General features: G+C 44.3%; 1 pseudogene, besides 1 other annotated feature; it reads right to left on the bottom strand.

The window, feature by feature from the left end:
- On the bottom strand, positions 3,089-3,183 carry RNU6-63P (RNA, U6 small nuclear 63, pseudogene; annotated as a pseudogene).
- Positions 8,030-8,229: an enhancer, noted in NCBI's record as "active region_7508". NCBI's record gives its function as "activates an Ori minimal core promoter by ATAC-STARR-seq in GM12878 lymphoblastoid cells {active_cell/tissue: GM12878}" and the evidence as "EXISTENCE:reporter gene assay evidence [ECO:0000049][PMID:35858748]".

Genomic DNA, 18,766 nt, shown 5'->3' with positions numbered 1-18,766 from the left:
AGGCTTTATCTTTACGAGGGCTTCAACATATGAATTTTAGGGGAACACAATCAGTCTCTGACACCTTGCTCACCCAAGTCCGCGTCTCATGGGGATACACCTGATTGGCCGAGACAAGGTCCCATGCCTGGAGCCTAGTTTCAAGGAACTCCTGGAATGCACATTTTCTGGCTTCTGCTATGGGAAGGCAAGACTCAATATGGAGAATTACCACAATGAGGGCAAGGTGGTTGTCTTGGTCTGTTTTTCTGCAGGTATAACAAGAATACAGATTGGGTAATTTATAATAAAAAAATATTTCTTTGGCTCATGGCTATGGAGGCTGGGAAGGCGAAAACCAAGGGGCCACGTCTGGTGAGGGTCTTCTTGCTGCATCATAACATGGAAGGTATCACATGGCAAGAGGCCAGAGCAAGCAAGACTGAGAGGGAAAGGGGTCCAACTCTCGCAGTAACAAACCCACTCCCATGGCAATACCATTGCTCCATTCCTGACAGCACAGCCTGCATGACTAATCACCTCTTAATACCATCACAATGGCAATTACATTTCAATATGAGTTTTGGAGGCATCATTCAAACCATGGCAGTGGTCAAAATATTAAGCAGCCACAAATGACAAATGTTCACTCCAGCATACATGCAGCTCCATACCAACACAGTCCGGATCAGCAGCATTCTCAACTTTGTCACACTGTTTTCTAGGCTGCTTTATGAATGAAACTGGTTCCCTCCCTCCAATGGAGCTGTGCTCCAGGAGAGGCCATTCACATAGATAACAATGTGTCTGTCCTTTTTTTTCTAAAGAGAAAAATAAAAATATTTTTTTAAAAAACCCAGCAATATGAATGCTGCCCCTATAGTAGTGTACTGTGGCAGCCCTGTGGCCAGTTTTGCCTGCTTCTGGATCTGGAGCCCAGGAGGCTTGTGGTTTTATGTAATAATGCCTTCACGTTTCTATCCTGACTGTGGTTCCCAGATATGTTTATCTTGTTTTTGAGATAGTTATGTCTTTCACATGTTGCTAAAGATGTTTTGTCTATCATTGTTATGTATTTAGAGCACAAAAGGAAGTGGGGGATGATTTCCATGTGAACCAATTTTTCTACCATAACCGAAACCATATATAGCAAAGTTGTTTAACTTTGCTATATATGACGTTATTTAAATTCATCATCTGTTCAGCTTTTATATAAAAGTAATTTTTTTAAATTAACATAGATTTTTCTCATGGAACATAAGATTACATAAACATAGTGCCAATAAAATAAAAGAGAATAGAAAGCCCAAAGACAGATGTATACAATAATTTAGTAGATAATAACAAACACAATTCCATTTATTGAACATGCAGGTGTTGGGAGACAATTCTCCATGGGTCTTTCACTTTTCTGCAAGTCTTGTGGGGGACTAACTCTCCTTTGTTTTAGATTATCTTTTTATGGCTGTTCATTTAGCAAACAGCCTTGGAAAATAGAGGTGCTCCCACAGAGCAAAGGGCAGGCATGCTTACTGAACGCTTTAGAAGATTTGGATAAGCTAAACTCAGAGTTCCTCTCCTATAATGCAACCCACTTCATGTTTAGGTAATTATCTGGGCTCATCCTTTCACCACCATGGGACTTCAGTCAAGGAGAACTGATGCACATATGGTGATGCTCTTGCTGCCTGCTGTGCATTAGATAATAATAAAGTCCTTTGTTTCTGATCCAGGAGTCTTGGGTCTTCTGCCAGCATCTGTGAAACTGGCAGGCTAACTTGTCAGCTGGCAAGTAGGGTAAAATCTCAGGCTCTTCACAGTTATTAAACAGGATACTTGTTAGGAATTTTGCATTTATTATATTATTTAATTATTATAACTCTACAAAGTAGGTGTTATTATCTCCATTTTACAGATGATAAAAGCAATGTTTAAAGAGATTAAGTAACGTGTCCAAGGTCAAGCAAGAATTCATCTCTGGGCCAGGATTCGAGTTCAGGACTGTATCGGTGTTGTACAAATTATTACTTATTTGGGGAAATAAAGTTAAATTCCCATTTCATCATATAGGTTAAAATTTCACATGGAATATAGAGTAAAATATAAACAAACAAAAACCAGTAAATATGCATATCTGATTTTTAGATGCATAAGAACTTATCTAAGCACAAATAAATTTTAAGACCAAATTGAATCATTCTGAATATGTCAAAGGGCACTACTGAAAGGCAAATGAAAAACTGGGAAAATATTTGAAGGAAATAGGATAAGGAATTAATGTCTTTAATATGTGAAAAGTTTACGAAAATCCACAAGAAAAATATTAAGTCTCTTAGAAAAATGAGTAAAAGACTTACAAAGCAACTTACACAAGTTATATAAATAGCAAAAATAAAAACAATCTCCCCCAATTCCATATATGTTCTACAGTTTCAAATAAATGGAATTATAATTGACAAAAATAAGTATATAGAAAAAATGTTAGACTTCAACATTAATGAAGTGCTACCCCTAAATACTCTTAATTTTAACAAATTGGCTAATTTTTGTTTTGTTTTGTTTTGTTAGCCGTGTTAGCCAGGATGGTCTCCATTTCCTGACCTCATGATCTGCCCGACTCGTCCTCCCAAAGTGCTGGGATTACAGGCATGAGCCACCGCACCCGGCCGCTAATTTTTTAAAATTAAAATATGCAGTATTGCTGCAGTTACAATGAAATGGTTATTGTGCACTATTGATGAAAGTGTACATTATACAACTGTTCTAGAGCAGGGATCCCTGTACCAGTCCGTGACCTGTTAGGAACTGGCCCACACAGCCAGAGGCAGGCTGCGGGCCAGCAAGCATTACAGCCTGAGCTCTGCCTCCTATCAGATCATTGGCAGCATTAGAGTCTCATAGGAGCACAAACTTTACTGTGAACTGCACACTCCTTGTAAGAATCTAATGAATCCCATGTGGTGTTTAACTTTCTGTTCCTGGCTTATTTCTCTTAACAGAATGTCCTCTAGTTCCATTCATGTTGCCACAAATGACAGGATTTCATGCTTTTTATGGCTGAATAATATTCCATGGAGTAAATATACCAGATTTTCTTTATCCAGTCATCAAAAATATGGAACACTTCACAAACTTGCATGTTATCCTTGTTCAGGGGCCGTGCTCTGTGTCATTCCAATTTTAGTGTATGTGCTGCTAAAGTGGGAAATGAAACATTTTAAAAATCCTGTTTCAATTCTAAAAGACATATCTGAAAATGTATTTTTCATCAGTGTCAAGAATTAAACAATATAAATAACTCCCTCGATTTAAAAAAGGGTGATTCACATACTTCTAATTCCTCTCTGCCTCCCCTGCTGGGTATTTCCAGCTCTGCTGAAATCGTCCAGATGTTTAGATTGATGTTATTATTTTTTTTACATGATGCCTCTTCTACTTTAAGAAAGCTTTAAAGGCCGGGTACAGTGGCTCACGCCTGTAATTTCATCACTTTGGGAGACCAAGGCAGGTGGATCACTTGAGGTCAGGAGTTCAAGACCAGCCTGGGCAACATGGTGAAACCCCGTCTCTACTGAAAACACAAAAAAATTAGCTGGGCTTGGTGGCGCATGCCTGTGACCCCAGCTACTCTGGAGGCTGAGGCAGGAGAATCGCTTGAACCTGAGAGGCAGAGGTTGCAGTGAGCTGAGATTGCACCACCGCACTCCAGCCTGAGCGACAGAGTGAGACTCCGTCTCCAGAAAAAAAAAAAAAAAAAAAAAAGCTTTAAAATGTACTAAACAGCCGTGTTACCAACAATTACTTAAACTTTACAGGTCTTATTGTTTATTACTGTTTTTTGTCTTCATCTTTTCTGAATTATTTATTTTGATGCTTTCCTTTTTTTTTTTTTTTTTTTTGATCCAGAGTCTACCACTGTTGCCTGGGCTGGAGTGCAGTGATGCAATCTCGGCTCAGACAGCAACCTCTGCCTCCCGGGTTCAAGTAATTCTCCTGCCTCAGCCCCCCAAGTATCTGGGATTACAGGCTCACGCCACCCGGCCCAGCTAATTTTTTTGTATTTTTAGTAGAGATGGGGCTTCACTATGTTGGCCAGCCTGGTCTCAAACTCCTGACCTCGTGATCTGTCCACCTCAGCCTCCCAAAGTGCTGGGATTACAGATGTGAGCCATTGCGCCTGCCCTATTTTGGTGTTTTGAAATTTTTTTTTCTTTTTTTTTTTTTTTTGAGACGGAGTCTCACTCTGTCGCCCAGGTTGGAGTGCAGTGGCGTGATCTCAGCTCACTGCAAGCTCTGCCTCCTGGGTTCATGCCATTCTCCTGCCTCAGCCTCCCAAGTAGCTGGGACCACAGGTGCCCGCTACCACGCTCGGCTAATTTTTTTGTATTTTTAGTAAAGACGAGGTTTCACCTTGTTAGCCAGGGTAGTCTCAATCTCCTGACCTCGTGATCCGCCCGCCTGGGCCTCCCAAAGTGCTGGGATTACAGGCGTGAGCCACCGCGCCCGGCCTTGAGGTTTCTTACTGTTGTTTTGTTTTTAGCAGAGGAGGTATATAGGATACTGACTGCCTTCCTTTACCCTGACACAGGATAGATAAGTTGAGTGGGTATGGAATGCTACTAACAATCTTTTCCAAGAGGAAACCCTAGGAATGTGGTTTCACAATCTTCTAGCATTTGGTTTGTAAGTTAAAAGTTTGATTCTCTTTTCTATGACGGTATTTTTTTTTCCTGTCATGAAGCTTATAAATTTTTCCCTTTAACCATAGGCTTGAGAAATTTCATCAGACTATGTTTAGGTAGTTTTTCTTTTTTTCTGTCTCTCTTTTCTTTCTTTTTCTTTTTCTTTTTTTTTGAAACAGAGTCTTACCTCTTGTGCACTATTGACGAAAGCATACATTATACATTCACCCAGGCTGGAGTGCAGTGGCACTATCACAGCTCACTGCGGGCTTATCCTGGGCTCAAGCGATCCTCCCACCTCAGCTTCCTGAGTAGCTGAGATTACAGGTGTGTGCCACCACATCCGGCTATTTTTTTTTTTAATAGAAATGAAGCCTTGCTGTGTTGCCCAGACTGGAGGTAGTTTTCTGAGAATTCCTACTTGGCATTCAACGGCCTCTTTTTCTCCACTCAGGAAACAATTTATTACATATTCTCAGTGATTTTTTTCCTTCTATTCTCTCATCATGAAATTCCTATTATACAAGTGATGGTGACACTGCATTTATATTTCACCATCTCTCATGACTTCCATCACCTTTTCCTCTAATTCACTAATTCAGTTTTCAGCTGAATTACTATAAGTCAGAGTATATATAAAGGCGTTTTGTTGTTGCTGCTGTTGTTTTTGAGAGTGGAGTCCATTCATATTAGTCTTTGCCACCTTTCTTAAATTCCTGTATAATATTCATACAATAGAATGCACAAATTTTAAGTGCACAGTCAGTTGTAATGAATGCATACATATAACCCGTATAGCCATTCAGTCAAGATGTAAAACACTTCCATGACCCCAGAAAGTTTTTTCATCTCCTTCTGGTCAATTCATGACCCCTCCCCAGAAATCACGAACGATTTCTAATATCATCAATTAATTTCGCTTGTGTTCGAGTTTTATATGAAAGAAACCATATAGCATGCACTTTCTGCAACTGGCTTCCTTAGCTCAACATAATGCTTTTGAGGTTTATCCATGCCGTAGAGTGTATCAGTAATTTTTTCCCTTTTTATTCCTCAGTAGTATTTCATTGTATGGGTATATCATCTTTTGTTTCCATTGGAATTTTTAATTTCTAAAATACGCTTCTTTCTTATCTAATTGCTCTTTTCCAAGTCTGCTCTTGCTTTATTGAAGGAATATCTGCTTGGATATATACATATCCAAAAACTATACACACACACACACACACACACACACACACACACACACAGAGAGAGTCTCCCTCTATTGCCCAGGCTGGAGTGCAGTGGCACAATCTCTGCTCACTGCAACCTCCACCTCCCAGGTTCAAGTGATCCTCCTGCCTCAGCCTCCCAAGTAGCTGGGACTACAGGTGTGCACCACCATGACTGGCTAATTTTTGTATTTTCAGTAGAGACTGTGTTTCTCCATGTTGGCCAGGCCGGTCTCGAACCCCCGGCCTCAAGTGATCTGCCTGCCTCAGCCTCCCAAAGTGCTGAGATTACCGGCCTGAGCCACTGCGCCAGGCCATGCCTGGATATTTCTAAGAATACTACTTATAATTGTCTTATTTCTTGTTTCCTGAAATAACTCTATAATATGTAGGGATAGGTATTTATATTGATTGCTTGAAATACTTTCTTTCCTTCGAGGTGCTGATTCTCCACAAATATCCAGTGATTCTGTGTTGTTATTGTCTGCTTCCATGTATCACATGCCATGGTATACAAGCATCAGCAGTTCCCTCAGCAATTGCATCTGATTCCAGATGGACACACTCTCCTCAATAACCAGCATCATGTGTGGCTGCAGATGGCAGACAGCAGTTTTTGCCCTGCTGTGTTTATTATTATTATTATTTTTTTTTTTTGACAAAGTCTCGCTTTGTCGCCCAGGCTGGAGTGCAGTGGTGCGATCTCGGCTCACTGCAAGCTCCACCTCCCATGTTCAGGCCATTCTCCTGCCTCAGCCTCCGGAGTAGCTGGGACTACAGGCACCCGCCACCACACCCGGCTAATTTTTGTATTTTTAGTAGAGACGGGGCTTCACCGGGTTAGCCAGGCGGTCTCGATCTCCTGACCTCGTGTTCTGCCCACCTCGGCCTCCCAAAGTGCTGGGATTACAGGCCTGAGCCACCACGCCTGGCTGCTGTGTTTATTCTTAATATCCTTGGAAATTTCCTCTTTTTAAGCCTGAAACCCCTCTACCCATTATCAAAGTAATAATTTCTCCTCTATTTTGAAGAAAAGATGAAGCTAACAAATAGCAATTAACAAATATATTCTACCAAGGTATATGCGTGCCTTTTTCCAACAGAAAGATTTTGCGTGTGATGATTGCAAAACTCTTGTTCAAATATGTTGCTGGGCGGCTGCATGATGTTACTATGGATGAACAGAAACAGATCAGTCCATTTAACCTGCCCCAATTCATCACAGGAGTTACGGCTTGACCTTCCACTGCCAATCATTTACACCCCAGGTTATAAATGAGGTAAGGAAAACACCTGGTCCACTTTGAGGTTGTCATTTGGTTGCAGGCAAGACCCCTTGGTCCACCTCCAAAAGGTGGGCAACTGAGATCTGCTGCTGAAGGCAGCTCTCCTTCAGGCAGAACGCTGAGCCAGTGGAGGTCATGGCAGGTTGTCCTTGAAAATGGTTTTGGACTGAAAATCAAGGGCAGTAAGGACAAAACCATAAGGAGCCTTGACTGGTCTCTGTTCATAGAGTCCTAAAATTTTCACCTCCCAGCTCACTGGGAAAGAAGAAAAGGCCCAGCCAGGAAAAGGAATTCCCCTGATTTTGGCAAGTGAAACAGCATGGCAGTGGGTCCAGGCACCTGCTGGAGGGTTGGGGCACTGTGGGGCCCCTGTGAGGGAAGCCCAGGAGACAGCTCGCAGTCAAGAATTTCCAACCAAAGTGCTCACTCTGCACCTGCTGAAGTTCAGACAACGGGAAGGGGGCTGCATCACCTTGTCCCCGCATCGCTGGAAGGAGTTCTGAGGAGGTGGAGCATCTGGGTTTCCAAGCTGAGCTTCGTCCTCATGAGTAGACTGAGTCCCCGGTCCTGCGTTTGGGTGCCTGGCTTGGAGAGGGGTCCCGGAAGCGCACTGACACGTTTGCCCTTCAAACCATCCCCGCACCCTCACAACACCCCATGAGCAGCCCACACTTGGGCTAAGCTGGGAAATGCATCCAATGAGGTCTCAGAGGAGCCCTCCTCTTCTTTTCCTGTGTGAAAAAGGAGAAACAGTAGTGTTGCTTGATGTGCTGTATTAGTCCGTTTTCACACTGCTATAAAGAACTTCCCTGAGACTGGGCAATTTATAAAGGAAAGAGGTTTAATTGACTCACAGTTCTGCAAGCTGGCAAGGCCTTGGGAAACTTATAATCATGGCGGAAGGGGAAGCAAGCACACTCTTCACAAGGCAGCAGAAGAAAGAAGAGAAAGTGAAAGGGGAAGAACCCCTTATAAAACCATCAGACCTGTGAGAACTCACTATCTGGAGCACAGCATGGGGAAACCGCCCTATGATCTAATCACCTCCCTACCTCCACACATGGGGATTACAGGTCCCTCCCTCTACACGTCCGGATTACAATTCTAGATGAGATTTGGGCGGGGACACAGAGCCAAACCGTATCATGTGCCCAGCAATCCAGTTCCATTTGCTTGGAGCTTCCACCTATCTCATATTCTTTGGTGAGATAATGCATGCATGTAAAGGCATTGAGCAAGGCTGGGTGCACAGTAAACCCACATAGCCATTATTATTACATCAGAACGTCTCCATGTTTCTTCTCTATCAATGGTATGTTTTCCCACTATCTCTCTCTGCCAGAGATTTCCCCCATTGTTTACTTTTTTGTTGTTGTCATATATTTCAGTAAGATACCAGGAGGGAGTGGAAATAAACACATGACAATTTGACATCTTTAAGCCAAAAGTCAGCATTATTTATTATTATGACTTTTAAAACATAGTAACAACTTGAAGTCCAGCAATAGAACAACTACCAGGTCATGGGGTACATAGAGGATGAGATTTTTATTTACAAAGAAATTTTAACACAGGTATAGATAATCACACTGAAACAGATCTTCGATCTATAAAGAATTGTGTCAGTGGTCTCTTATAAACAGAGGACAAGGAGGCACCCATTTAAAAACAAAAACAAAAACAAAAAACCATAAAACATTTTGTTTCCCTGAATGGCTTAGCAAAATCTGACATAGTCCTTGATTTGCAGAGCTGTTGGCTGGGGAAGAAGTGGGCTGATTTCCCTGAGAAGCTCAGGGTTTTCTAAAGGGGCCAGCAGTCTAATCACCACTTTCTCAAATTTGAAATTAGAAAGGTCTGATTTGAAATTAGAAACGTACAAAAGGGGGACTCAAATCTAGTAAGAGGGAAGTGAACAAGACGTTGAAATAGTTATCCTGCAGGAAGGAGATTCAAGTTTCATGTCCCAATTTCACAAGGGCCAAAGAATTGGTAGTGGAATTGATTCCAGAGCATTAAGTATATGGCTGACCTTGGAAGTACCTCCGACCCGTAAAAGCCTTGCCTAGTGGCTGTGTCTTAGAGGGCAATGTCTGAGCATGGAAATGTAAACGACAAGGGGCTAGACGCGGAGGGACATCCCAGGATGGATGGTCATTGCCGGCTGCAGGGTACAGGACTACTCTTCAACACTGACACCACGTGGCAACCACCGGGAACTGCAGGCTGGAGCCCCGGCTGTCATTTTGCTAGCCTGTTACCTAGAGTCCTCTCCGGGCTGAGGAAGGATCCAGCATTCTTGGACAACTTGGGTGAAATGCAGGGAATTTTGAGAGGGACAAGTTGGACTTTCCGCTCAAAGGGCCTGGGAAGCTTCAGCAATTAATTTCAAAAGAATATAGGCTGGGCACGGTGGAGTCACGCCTGTAATCCCAGCACTTTGGGAGGCTGAGGTGGATGGATCCCTTGAGGTCAGGAGTTCGAGACCAGCCTGGCCAACATGGGGAAACCCCGTTTCTACTAAAAATACAAAAAACTAGCCGAGCGTGGCGGTGCATGCCTGTAGTCCCAGCCACTCAGGAGGCTGAGGTAGGAGAATTGCTTGAACCTGGGAGGTGGTGGTTGCAGTGACCCAAGGTCGTGCCACTGCACCCCAGCCAGGGCGACAGGGCAAGACTCTGTCTCAAAAACAAAACAAAACAGGAAACAAAAAGACAAGTTGGTGCAAAAGTAATTGCGGCTTTAATAGCAGAGGTATGACCATATTTTTACACTGTGTAGAGCAAGTCTTACAATCTACATTTAAATTTTGAGCAGCCATTCGATGACCTGCTATAAACCTACCAATATAATGTTTTAGAATAATACTTACTAATATACAATATATAACATAATGTTATTTTTTAAAGCAGAATTTAAAACTATACATATGTATGATCCCTTTGTATTACATTTACCTATCAAAAATAGGACCATCTGAGGAACTGGAAATAAATGTAAACATGAGGCTAAATGAGGTTTATGAGAGATAAACAGATTATCTCTCATCTGTTTATCTCTCGTTGTCAGGTATGGGTGGGTTTATTTTGTCCTACTCCGTTTGCCCCAGGTAGCCTTTTTTTCTATCATGACTACAACTTCAATGCTGAGGGAGCCCCCAAATGCCCCAAGTTATCTTCACAGTTGAGGGTGGAGGTGTGGGTGGGAGGAGGCCTCCCTCCTGTTTCATTTCTTTAATTCCTGCCTTGGCTCATAAAATAGGATCTTCTATGTACATTTGTACCACTCAGGGAAATATAAAGGGAGCTTTGGATGCCTCACCTCTTTTTTCACTCCTTGTCCTAATCTGTTTTCTGTTGCTTATAACAGAATACCTGAAGCTGGGTAATTTATAAAGAAAAAAAATTTCTTTTTTACAGTCATGAAGGTTTAGAAGGTCAAGGTCGAGGGGCTGCATCTGGTGAGGGCCTTCCTGCTGGTGGGGATTCTCTGCAGAATCCCCAGGCAGTGCAGGGCATCACATGTGAGGGGCTGAGCAAGCTCACATGCTAGTTCAGGTCTCTCTTCCACTTCCTGTAAAGCAGTCAGTCCTATTATCATAACTCATTAATTCACTAGTCCACGAATAGATTAATCCATTCATGAGGGTAGAGCCCTCTCATGATCCAGTCATCTCGTGAAGGCCCCACCTCTCAATACTGCCCCTTTGAGGATTAAATTTCAACATGAATTTTGGATGGGATGGACATTCAAAGCATAGCAGTCCCCTACAAGGGAGAGATAGTAATCTAATTAGCAAGACCTTCTGTCTATTGGACCACAGTGGCAGAGGTAAGATCACTGTGCCCAAAAAGCAACTCCAGCCCCAGCCCTCCTCTCCTATTCCTTGGGTCTATATGCTCTTGGGGACGCCCCTCCTGAGTTAGAGGATTTCCCCTTCCTGCTTCTCGGCCTGCTGACATTCAGGACTTTCAGTTGGTGACTTTGGGAAAGGGAGAAGAAAGCCCCTACCTTGCCCAGGGGCAGACTAGTTTTCATATGAGCTTCAGTTATAAAGCTGATCCTCTCTGGCCCCTGAAGTTGTTCTCAGTTTGGTGGAACTTGGAAGCAAGGGCTGAGAGGGACTGCCATTCTGAAACTTCAGTTCCCTCATTTATGAAAATGACTACGAGGTCGTTTTTAACTAATGTAATATTTTCATCTTTGTGATCTGGCACAAAGATGATATAGACTAGGAAAAAATTACCTGGCATGATTCAAGTGCATCCTGCTAACAGGCAGGGGAGTAGGGTGGGAGGGAAAGGGACAAGCTGGCAGCTCCCAGGCTCTTTGACCCAATGATAGGTGGTGTCCAGTCTGTAGCTTCCCTGCCCTCAGACCTGTTACTCCTCCTTCCCCTGCCCTGCTTGGTATCACAGTGGGATTCAGGGGCAGCTGCTGCCAGCTGGGTTTGGCATGGGAGGTGCTGGTAGAAGACGAGAGGAAGGAAGGGAGAAACCAGGACATTCCTTCCCTCCCTCTGTGGTTTCTTTAGCCGTGGGTTTACCAGAAACGATCAGTCCAAGTGCATGGAGTGGCTTCCTGCTGGTACTAATCTCTCAGTGGCTTCATGGTCCCTGTTGGCCTCTTAGCTCTTCCTTCATTTATGAAGCCAATTCTTAAATTTATTTTCCTCATTTTAAATATTTGGAGATATTTTCATTTTCCTGGTTGGACCTTGACTGCTAATATCTGCTATGATCTGAATGTGTCCCTCAAAATCCATATGTTGGAAACTTAATCTCGATGCAACAGTGTTGGGAGGTGTTTGGGTCACAAGGGCTCTGCTCTTTTGAATAGATTAATACTGTTTTAAAAGGGCTTGACAGCAGAAGTTGGATTCTTTTTCACTCTTCCGTCTTCTGCCACGTGAGGACTCAGCAAGAAGGCCCTTGCCAGATGACAGTGTCTTGATCTTGGACTACTCAGCCTCCAGAGCTGTGAGAAAAAAGTTTATGTTCTTAAGTATTCTGGTATAGCAGCACAAAATAGACTAAGACAGTATTAGTTTGATTATGGCCTTAAAGCCTGGGCATGGAGGTATTCCATCTGCTGGATTGAGGGCTGCTCAGGGCTGAGTGTCAGAACTAGGAGATGGCAGAAGAAGAGGCTGTGTGTATGTGTGTGTCCCAGATAAACACCAGTAAGAAAGCCATGGCATTGGTAAGATCATCCTGCATGGCCAAGCTCCTCTCCTCTTCCATGTCACCACTCTATCTTTCCCTCAACCTGGAATATTAATGTCATGTTCTATTTCTCCAATGCCTTGCTCTAAGCTAGCTGTTAATTAATTCCTCTGAAAAATTTGCCTGATGACTACTTAAGAATTAATCAGTTTCCAGGGTATTTTTATAGAGGAAAAAACATTAAAAGATTTTATTTTATAGAAGAAACAAAATAAAAGGTTACTCTTGTAACCTTTTTTGATTACAAGAGTAATATAGGCTTCTATAGACATTTTGAAAGAAAAAATAAAAAATAAACTAAAAACCAATGATAATCCCAGCCACTCAGAAGAAGCTTTCTTAACATTATGATGTATCAGTATGAAGTCTTTTTTTAAATTGCATATATGCACAAGCCTGTGTGTGTGTTTGTGGGTGTGTCAGGGTTGGTTGTATTCATAGCTAAGATTATATCATATATGGTTCTGTACCCTGTTTTATCACATAAGAATCAAAGGCTCTTTGAAGTCAGAAAGTCCCCCTACCTCCCACCCCAAAACATGAAATTAATTCAGCCTAACAACATCGAGTGGGTTCTCTCCTATGTTTCCCTACGAAGTGCTGGTACAAAGGAAGAATGAATTGGAAACACGCCGACATCACCATATACAGACCCCAGAAGAACGATCTTGTGTGTTTGTGTGCACAAATCAAGTGAGAAACTGTAAAAAGGTGCCATTGGGAGGAAGTGGTCAGTAGCAGAATAGGACTGTGGGGTGCCCACCCCATCCACCTGACCCTACCTGGCAAAGCAATGAAGCATGCTCTCCCAGAAAGGGTGGTGTAGAAACCCCCACTTCAGCCCCCTCCTACACAGAATAACTTCTCCATCCAGAGGAGATGTGTCCTCAGTAATAAGTGTCTTTTGCAAAGAACGCATCCGCTGCACAATTTATTCTTAGGTTCTACCTAGTATCTGGCCCGTCTCATAGATAACAAGCATAGTATCGTGTACTGTGTGCATACAGGTAGAATTCACAATTTCCTTGAGATTTTGGGGCTTCTGAATCCAGGAGTAGATCATCTCAGCTTTATTTTGTTCTTCACTAAAAAATAAAGCATTTTGGATGTGGCTATGGCATACAGTAATATATAGCAGGCAGAGGAGACACGAATAAAGACTACCGCCTTAACAAAGACGCTGGTATCACCCCTCTTTCTGTTGAGCTCCGTTTGACTGTGAAATGTTTAAAGGAGAGAGGCTAGGGTGATGGCTCAGGAGATATTATGTTAATGAAAAGCAGGATAAATGCGCAAATGATTTGCATAGAAGGAACCTGATCTAGCTGATATTTGAAGAGGAAGTCCTGGGGGAGGTGCCCCACGTAATGGGCCTTTCTTTGTCAGCCCTGGATCTGAAAGAAGTGTCTGAGCCTAGAAAAACAAGTTCACAGTTTCCGTCTCACCCAGTGAATGCTTGCAAGACTCCACACCAGTGTTTCCAATCAGAGCAATGATTCTGCAATTGTGTGTGTACTTGTACTAATGTTTGCTCTAGTAATGACTAATAATGGCGGGGGCACTGCCCCTGGAGGCCGGTGACGGGGCCAGCTGCCCGTGTGTGCAGATGTTCGTGGTTCTGAGCTCAGCCTGCTCAGGACAGTGTAGGAAAAAAGGGATTCCTGAACCACCGTGATCTTACACAGTCATATTGAGGCTTTCTCCTGCTGGGTGTCATTCCAGTTGTAGTTCTAGGGAGAATTTCACCCCTGCCCCAAGCCCTTGCTCCTGTATCCACAGCTAACACCAGGGCTTATGGCTCAGGACAAGGTCAGGTGGTGGTAATGCTGATGGAGCTGAGGTAGGGCATTCAGGCCTTGCCAAGAGGGTTTCTGGACCTTATAAGGTACCCAAGGCCCCAGACCCTTTCCACCATTCTTCTCTCCAAGGGAAATGCTGCTTTACGTGTCAGCCAATACAATTCAGGGTAATTATGGGAGCAAATGTGTTCTCACCCATATCTCCCTTCAGACTAGATTTAGGGTAAGAGAAAAGAAGGGCGGTGATGTTGCTGAGTGTCTACTATATGCTGGGTGCTGTGCTGGTGTTTTATTCTCTAAATTCTTCAAGCAATGGCCAGGCACAGTGACTCACACTTGTAATCCCAGCACTTTGGGAGGCTGAGGTGGGCAAATCACCTGAGGTCAGGAGTTCGAGACCAGCCTGGCCAAAATGACGAAACCCCATCTCTACTAAAAATACAAAAAGTTAGCCGGGCATGGTGGTGCATGCCTGTAGTCCCAGCTACTTGGGAGGCTGAGGCGGGAGAATTGCTTGAACCCAGGAGATGGAGGTTGCAGTGAGCCAATATTGCACCACTGCACTCCAGCCTGGGTGGGAAAGCAAGATTCTGTCAATCAATCAATCAATCAATCAATCAATCAATAATAAATTTAGCCTGCCTCCAGCCCCATGCTCCTTCCAACATTTATTCTTTCACCACATTCACATCTGTGGAGCGCCGCCTATCTGTCAGGCATTCAGGACTGCCGGGGTGAGCTAAACATTGGGTTTGGAGTCCACCGGCAGAAACAGGGGTCCACCGGCAGAAACAGGGGTCCCCCACAGAACCAGATGTGTAATGACAGGTCTGAGCTGTGCTGGGAGGAAGCACAAGGGGCCCTGAGAGAGGAGGCTGTGCTTCTGACTTGGATGGGACCCTGGGTTTGGATTGGACTGGCGTGAGGAGTTAACCAGGTGAAAAGCTGTGGGAACAGCTTCCCAGGCCCAGGCCCCAGAGGAATGAGAGGACACTGGGGGCCTGGGATGGAGGGAGGCTGGTGATCCTGCAAAGGGGGCACAGCCTGATGGCTTTTTAAAGATTTGGGCCTCATCCCACCTGCGGTCATACAATCAGTCTTGCGTTTTTGCAAAGAACATTCTAAAACCACCCAGTGTCCATCAACGGATGAACAGATACACAAAATGTAGAGTATGATTTAGCCTTAAAAACAAAGGAAATCCTGTCACATGCTACGACTGGATGAACTCTGAGGACATCATGCTATGCCAGGCACAAGGGGACAAACACCGCAAGATTCCACTTATGTGAGGTACCAGAACAGTCAGGTTCCTGGAGACAGAAAATAGAACGGTGGTTGCCAGGGGCTGGGGAAGGCGGGAATGGGGAGTGGTTGTTTAATGAGCACAGAGTTTCTATTTGAGAAGATGAAGGGGGTTCTGGAGATGGATCATGGTGCTGGTTGCACAACAAAGTGAATGTTCTTAATGCTGCTGAACTTCAACTTAAAAATGGTTAAAATGGTAAATTTTATGTTATGTGTATTTTAACCAGTTTTTATAAACAAAGAACATCCTAGCTGCCAGGTGGAGAACAGATTAGAAGGAGGGTTAGATCGTGAAAAACAGAACCAGATATGACACTTTCAGGAGTGCAGGTGAGAGATGATACTGTATTCATCTCCTTAGGTAGGAAGTCCCACCTAAAAATTCCTCGGGGGATGTTCTCTGTTTTCCACAATGTCTGATTGGGTGTTTGTTCCAATGGAGGCTGCCTCTTTCAACCGTGAGCTCCTGTACAAACCCAGCAGAGGGTTGGAGCTCCGTAAACTGGGGGCATCTGAGCTTCCACGGCATGCCGTTAGCTGTCTTTACCTGCCAGGTGGGCTGGGGCTGAGCCTGGCTATGTTTGTCATCATAGGCCTTTGAGGATGAAAGTAAAAGACTGTGGCTAGGATCCCCAATGAATCACCTGGGACAAGTCCTTTCTACAGTTTTCAGGCTTCTGGCGATTTAAATATAAAAATGACTAAGTGATGCTGGTCGTGGGTGGGTACCCAGACGTGGGCGCGTGGGAGATTTGGCTTCCGGAGCTTCACTAGACCTTCCTGGGTCTGTGTTCCAGGAGGAAGAGGAGGCCCTTCCCAGGGAGCACCCTCTTCCTTCTCTGTGTCCCTGACCAAGGCCTGAGGTGTGCCGTGGCGGCCACGCTCTCCCTGGATGTTTTCGCTGGGGAGTATCCGAGGCTGGTCCATGACGGTGAGGCAGTAGGTAAGTGGAAGTAAATACTGTACCAGCTTAACAATGCATATATGAGACTTGGTCTCATAGAAGTGTAATGTTCTGATTCATAAGCAAGTGTGCAGCTAGTCTTGGTAATTTCCTTCAGCCCTGCTGCCGTTTCCCATTCTAACGAAACCATAAGGCTGTCTCTTTTTTTGAGACAGAGTCTCACTCTGTTGCCCAGGCGGGAGTGCAGTGGCGGTTCTTGACTCACTGCAGCCTCCGCCTCCTGGGTTCAAGTGATTCTTCTGCCTCAGCCTCCCGAGTAGCTGGGATTATAGGCGCACACCACCACACTCGACTGATTTCAGTATTTTCTTTTTTTTTTTTTTAGTAAAGACGGGGTTTCACCATGTTGGCCAGGCTAGTCTTGAACTCCTGACCTCAAGTGATCCTCCCACCTTGGCCTCCCAAAGTGCTGGGATTACAGGTGTGAGCAACCATGCCCATTAGGCTGTCTTTATCTCAGAAGTAGATGAAGCAGCAGGAAAGCTGAGGCTGCTCTGTTTCAGAAGCCAGCACATCTCTGTATCAAATGCCACGGTCATGAAAAACTCAGGCCTTAAACCCCAGATTTGGAAGAAAAGTGAGCAGCCACAACCAGTTGTCCATGCTCTGGAAGAGATAATGATGTATTTTGCTCAGGAAAGAAGACAGTCAGAGAGTCTGAGTCCTTCACCAACTGGTTCTGGCCATTGGCAAGCAGTGTCACCTGTCTGGGCCTGTTTCTTCATCTATACAAAAATCCAGGAGATCATGCACTACCCCTGAATCCAGGGGGACACACACTACTCTCCAGATCTAGGGGGTCACAAGACACTCCCAAATCTAGGGGATCATACACTATCCACGCAAGCCAGATGGTTGTCCGTGGACCGTGAAGTTGGAAAACCCTCAATTGAATCGTTCCTTCCAGCTCTGATATCCTGAGTCTCTCCCCAACATATCTGCACTTCCTGCAAATTGGAGCCCAATTCTTGCCTCCACATGGATGCTACCTTTGCTGGAAGGGCAGTGTGGGGTAGTGGGAAGGACATAGCATCGGGGTCAGACAGAGGCAGGTTTAGAAATCTGAGCCAATCACATGTTAGCTTTGTGATACCAGGCAAGCTATTTAACATCTCTGAGCCCTGATTCCTCATCTGAAAAATCAAGATAAACAATATCTTTCAGGGCTATCTTCAGGATGAGGAATAAAATGGAAACCACCCAGCACAGTGCCAGACACACATAAACAGTAGCATTAAGGCATATTGGTTAAATCCACTTTCATCACCCCTAGCTGTGAGATGATTGGCAAGCACTAAATAAAAATTAATATTAGCTGTTATTGGGGCAGGGTTCTAGTTCTGTTCACAGGTTAAGAGGGGGTTCTTATTTTCAGGTGGGTTTTAAGGACAGCAGCCATAAATCAAAGTGCATTATGGTGCTCCAAGTTGACAAACAGAGCACAGGAAACATAATCTAAAGAACAGATGTCACGAATAGTAGCAATTTTATACAGACAAGCCTTCTTCAGTAAGCCCAAAACTTCCTTCCTGCCCAATAATCTCAGTGTCCTCTTTTGGGAAAGAATTGTTTCAGCTCTTGGGTTCTGTGCCCACAAAGCCACTTGAGAAGAAGCATGTAGTTTCCAATAAAGAAGCCCGGGTTAAAACCTGGGACTTCTTCACCCACTATGTGGCCATCCACAGGGGCTGGGTTGCTACAGCACAGCTGGTGGTTAACGCTATCTTATCATTGGGGCCTATGTGGATGGGTGCTCCAGGTGCACACCACAGAGGGGTGGTGCTGCTCCAGCCAACCCCCAAAGGCCTCTGCTGGTAACCCATCAAACCAATCTGGTTCAACTTTCATTTAACAAACCTGTGAGTTTTTCAGTTGCCACGGGCTCCCAGGTTGAAGATCACATAACCTGAGCATGCCCAGATGAACCAAGCATGTAACCACTGGTGGGACCTAAGTGCTTAAGGAGCTGGGATTGAGTTAAGATGCAAACATTCCATGGAAGGATCCAGTCAGATCATGCCTTCTGGCATCACCTCATTGCAAGATCCAATCAGATCACACCTCATTACCTTGTGCTTATAAAAACCCAACCCAGCACCCAACTCAGGGAGACAGATTTGAGCATAGCCCCCTGTCTCCTTGTCAGTCAACTCACAATGAACCTTTCTCACAGCCAAAACCTAGTGACTCAATGTTTGGCTTTCTGTTACACACAGGCAAATGGACACAGTTTGGTTTGATGACATGCTTTGCTCCCAGCAAGCAGTGCACAGGCCTGGGCCAGCCTCTCAGGTGCGTCCTCAGCAGAG

The sequence above is a fragment of the Homo sapiens genome, chromosome 13 (assembly GCF_000001405.40).
Source record: "Homo sapiens chromosome 13, GRCh38.p14 Primary Assembly".
Lineage (NCBI taxonomy): Eukaryota > Metazoa > Chordata > Mammalia > Primates > Hominidae > Homo > Homo sapiens.
This window is presented reverse-complemented; position numbering and strand designations above follow the sequence as displayed.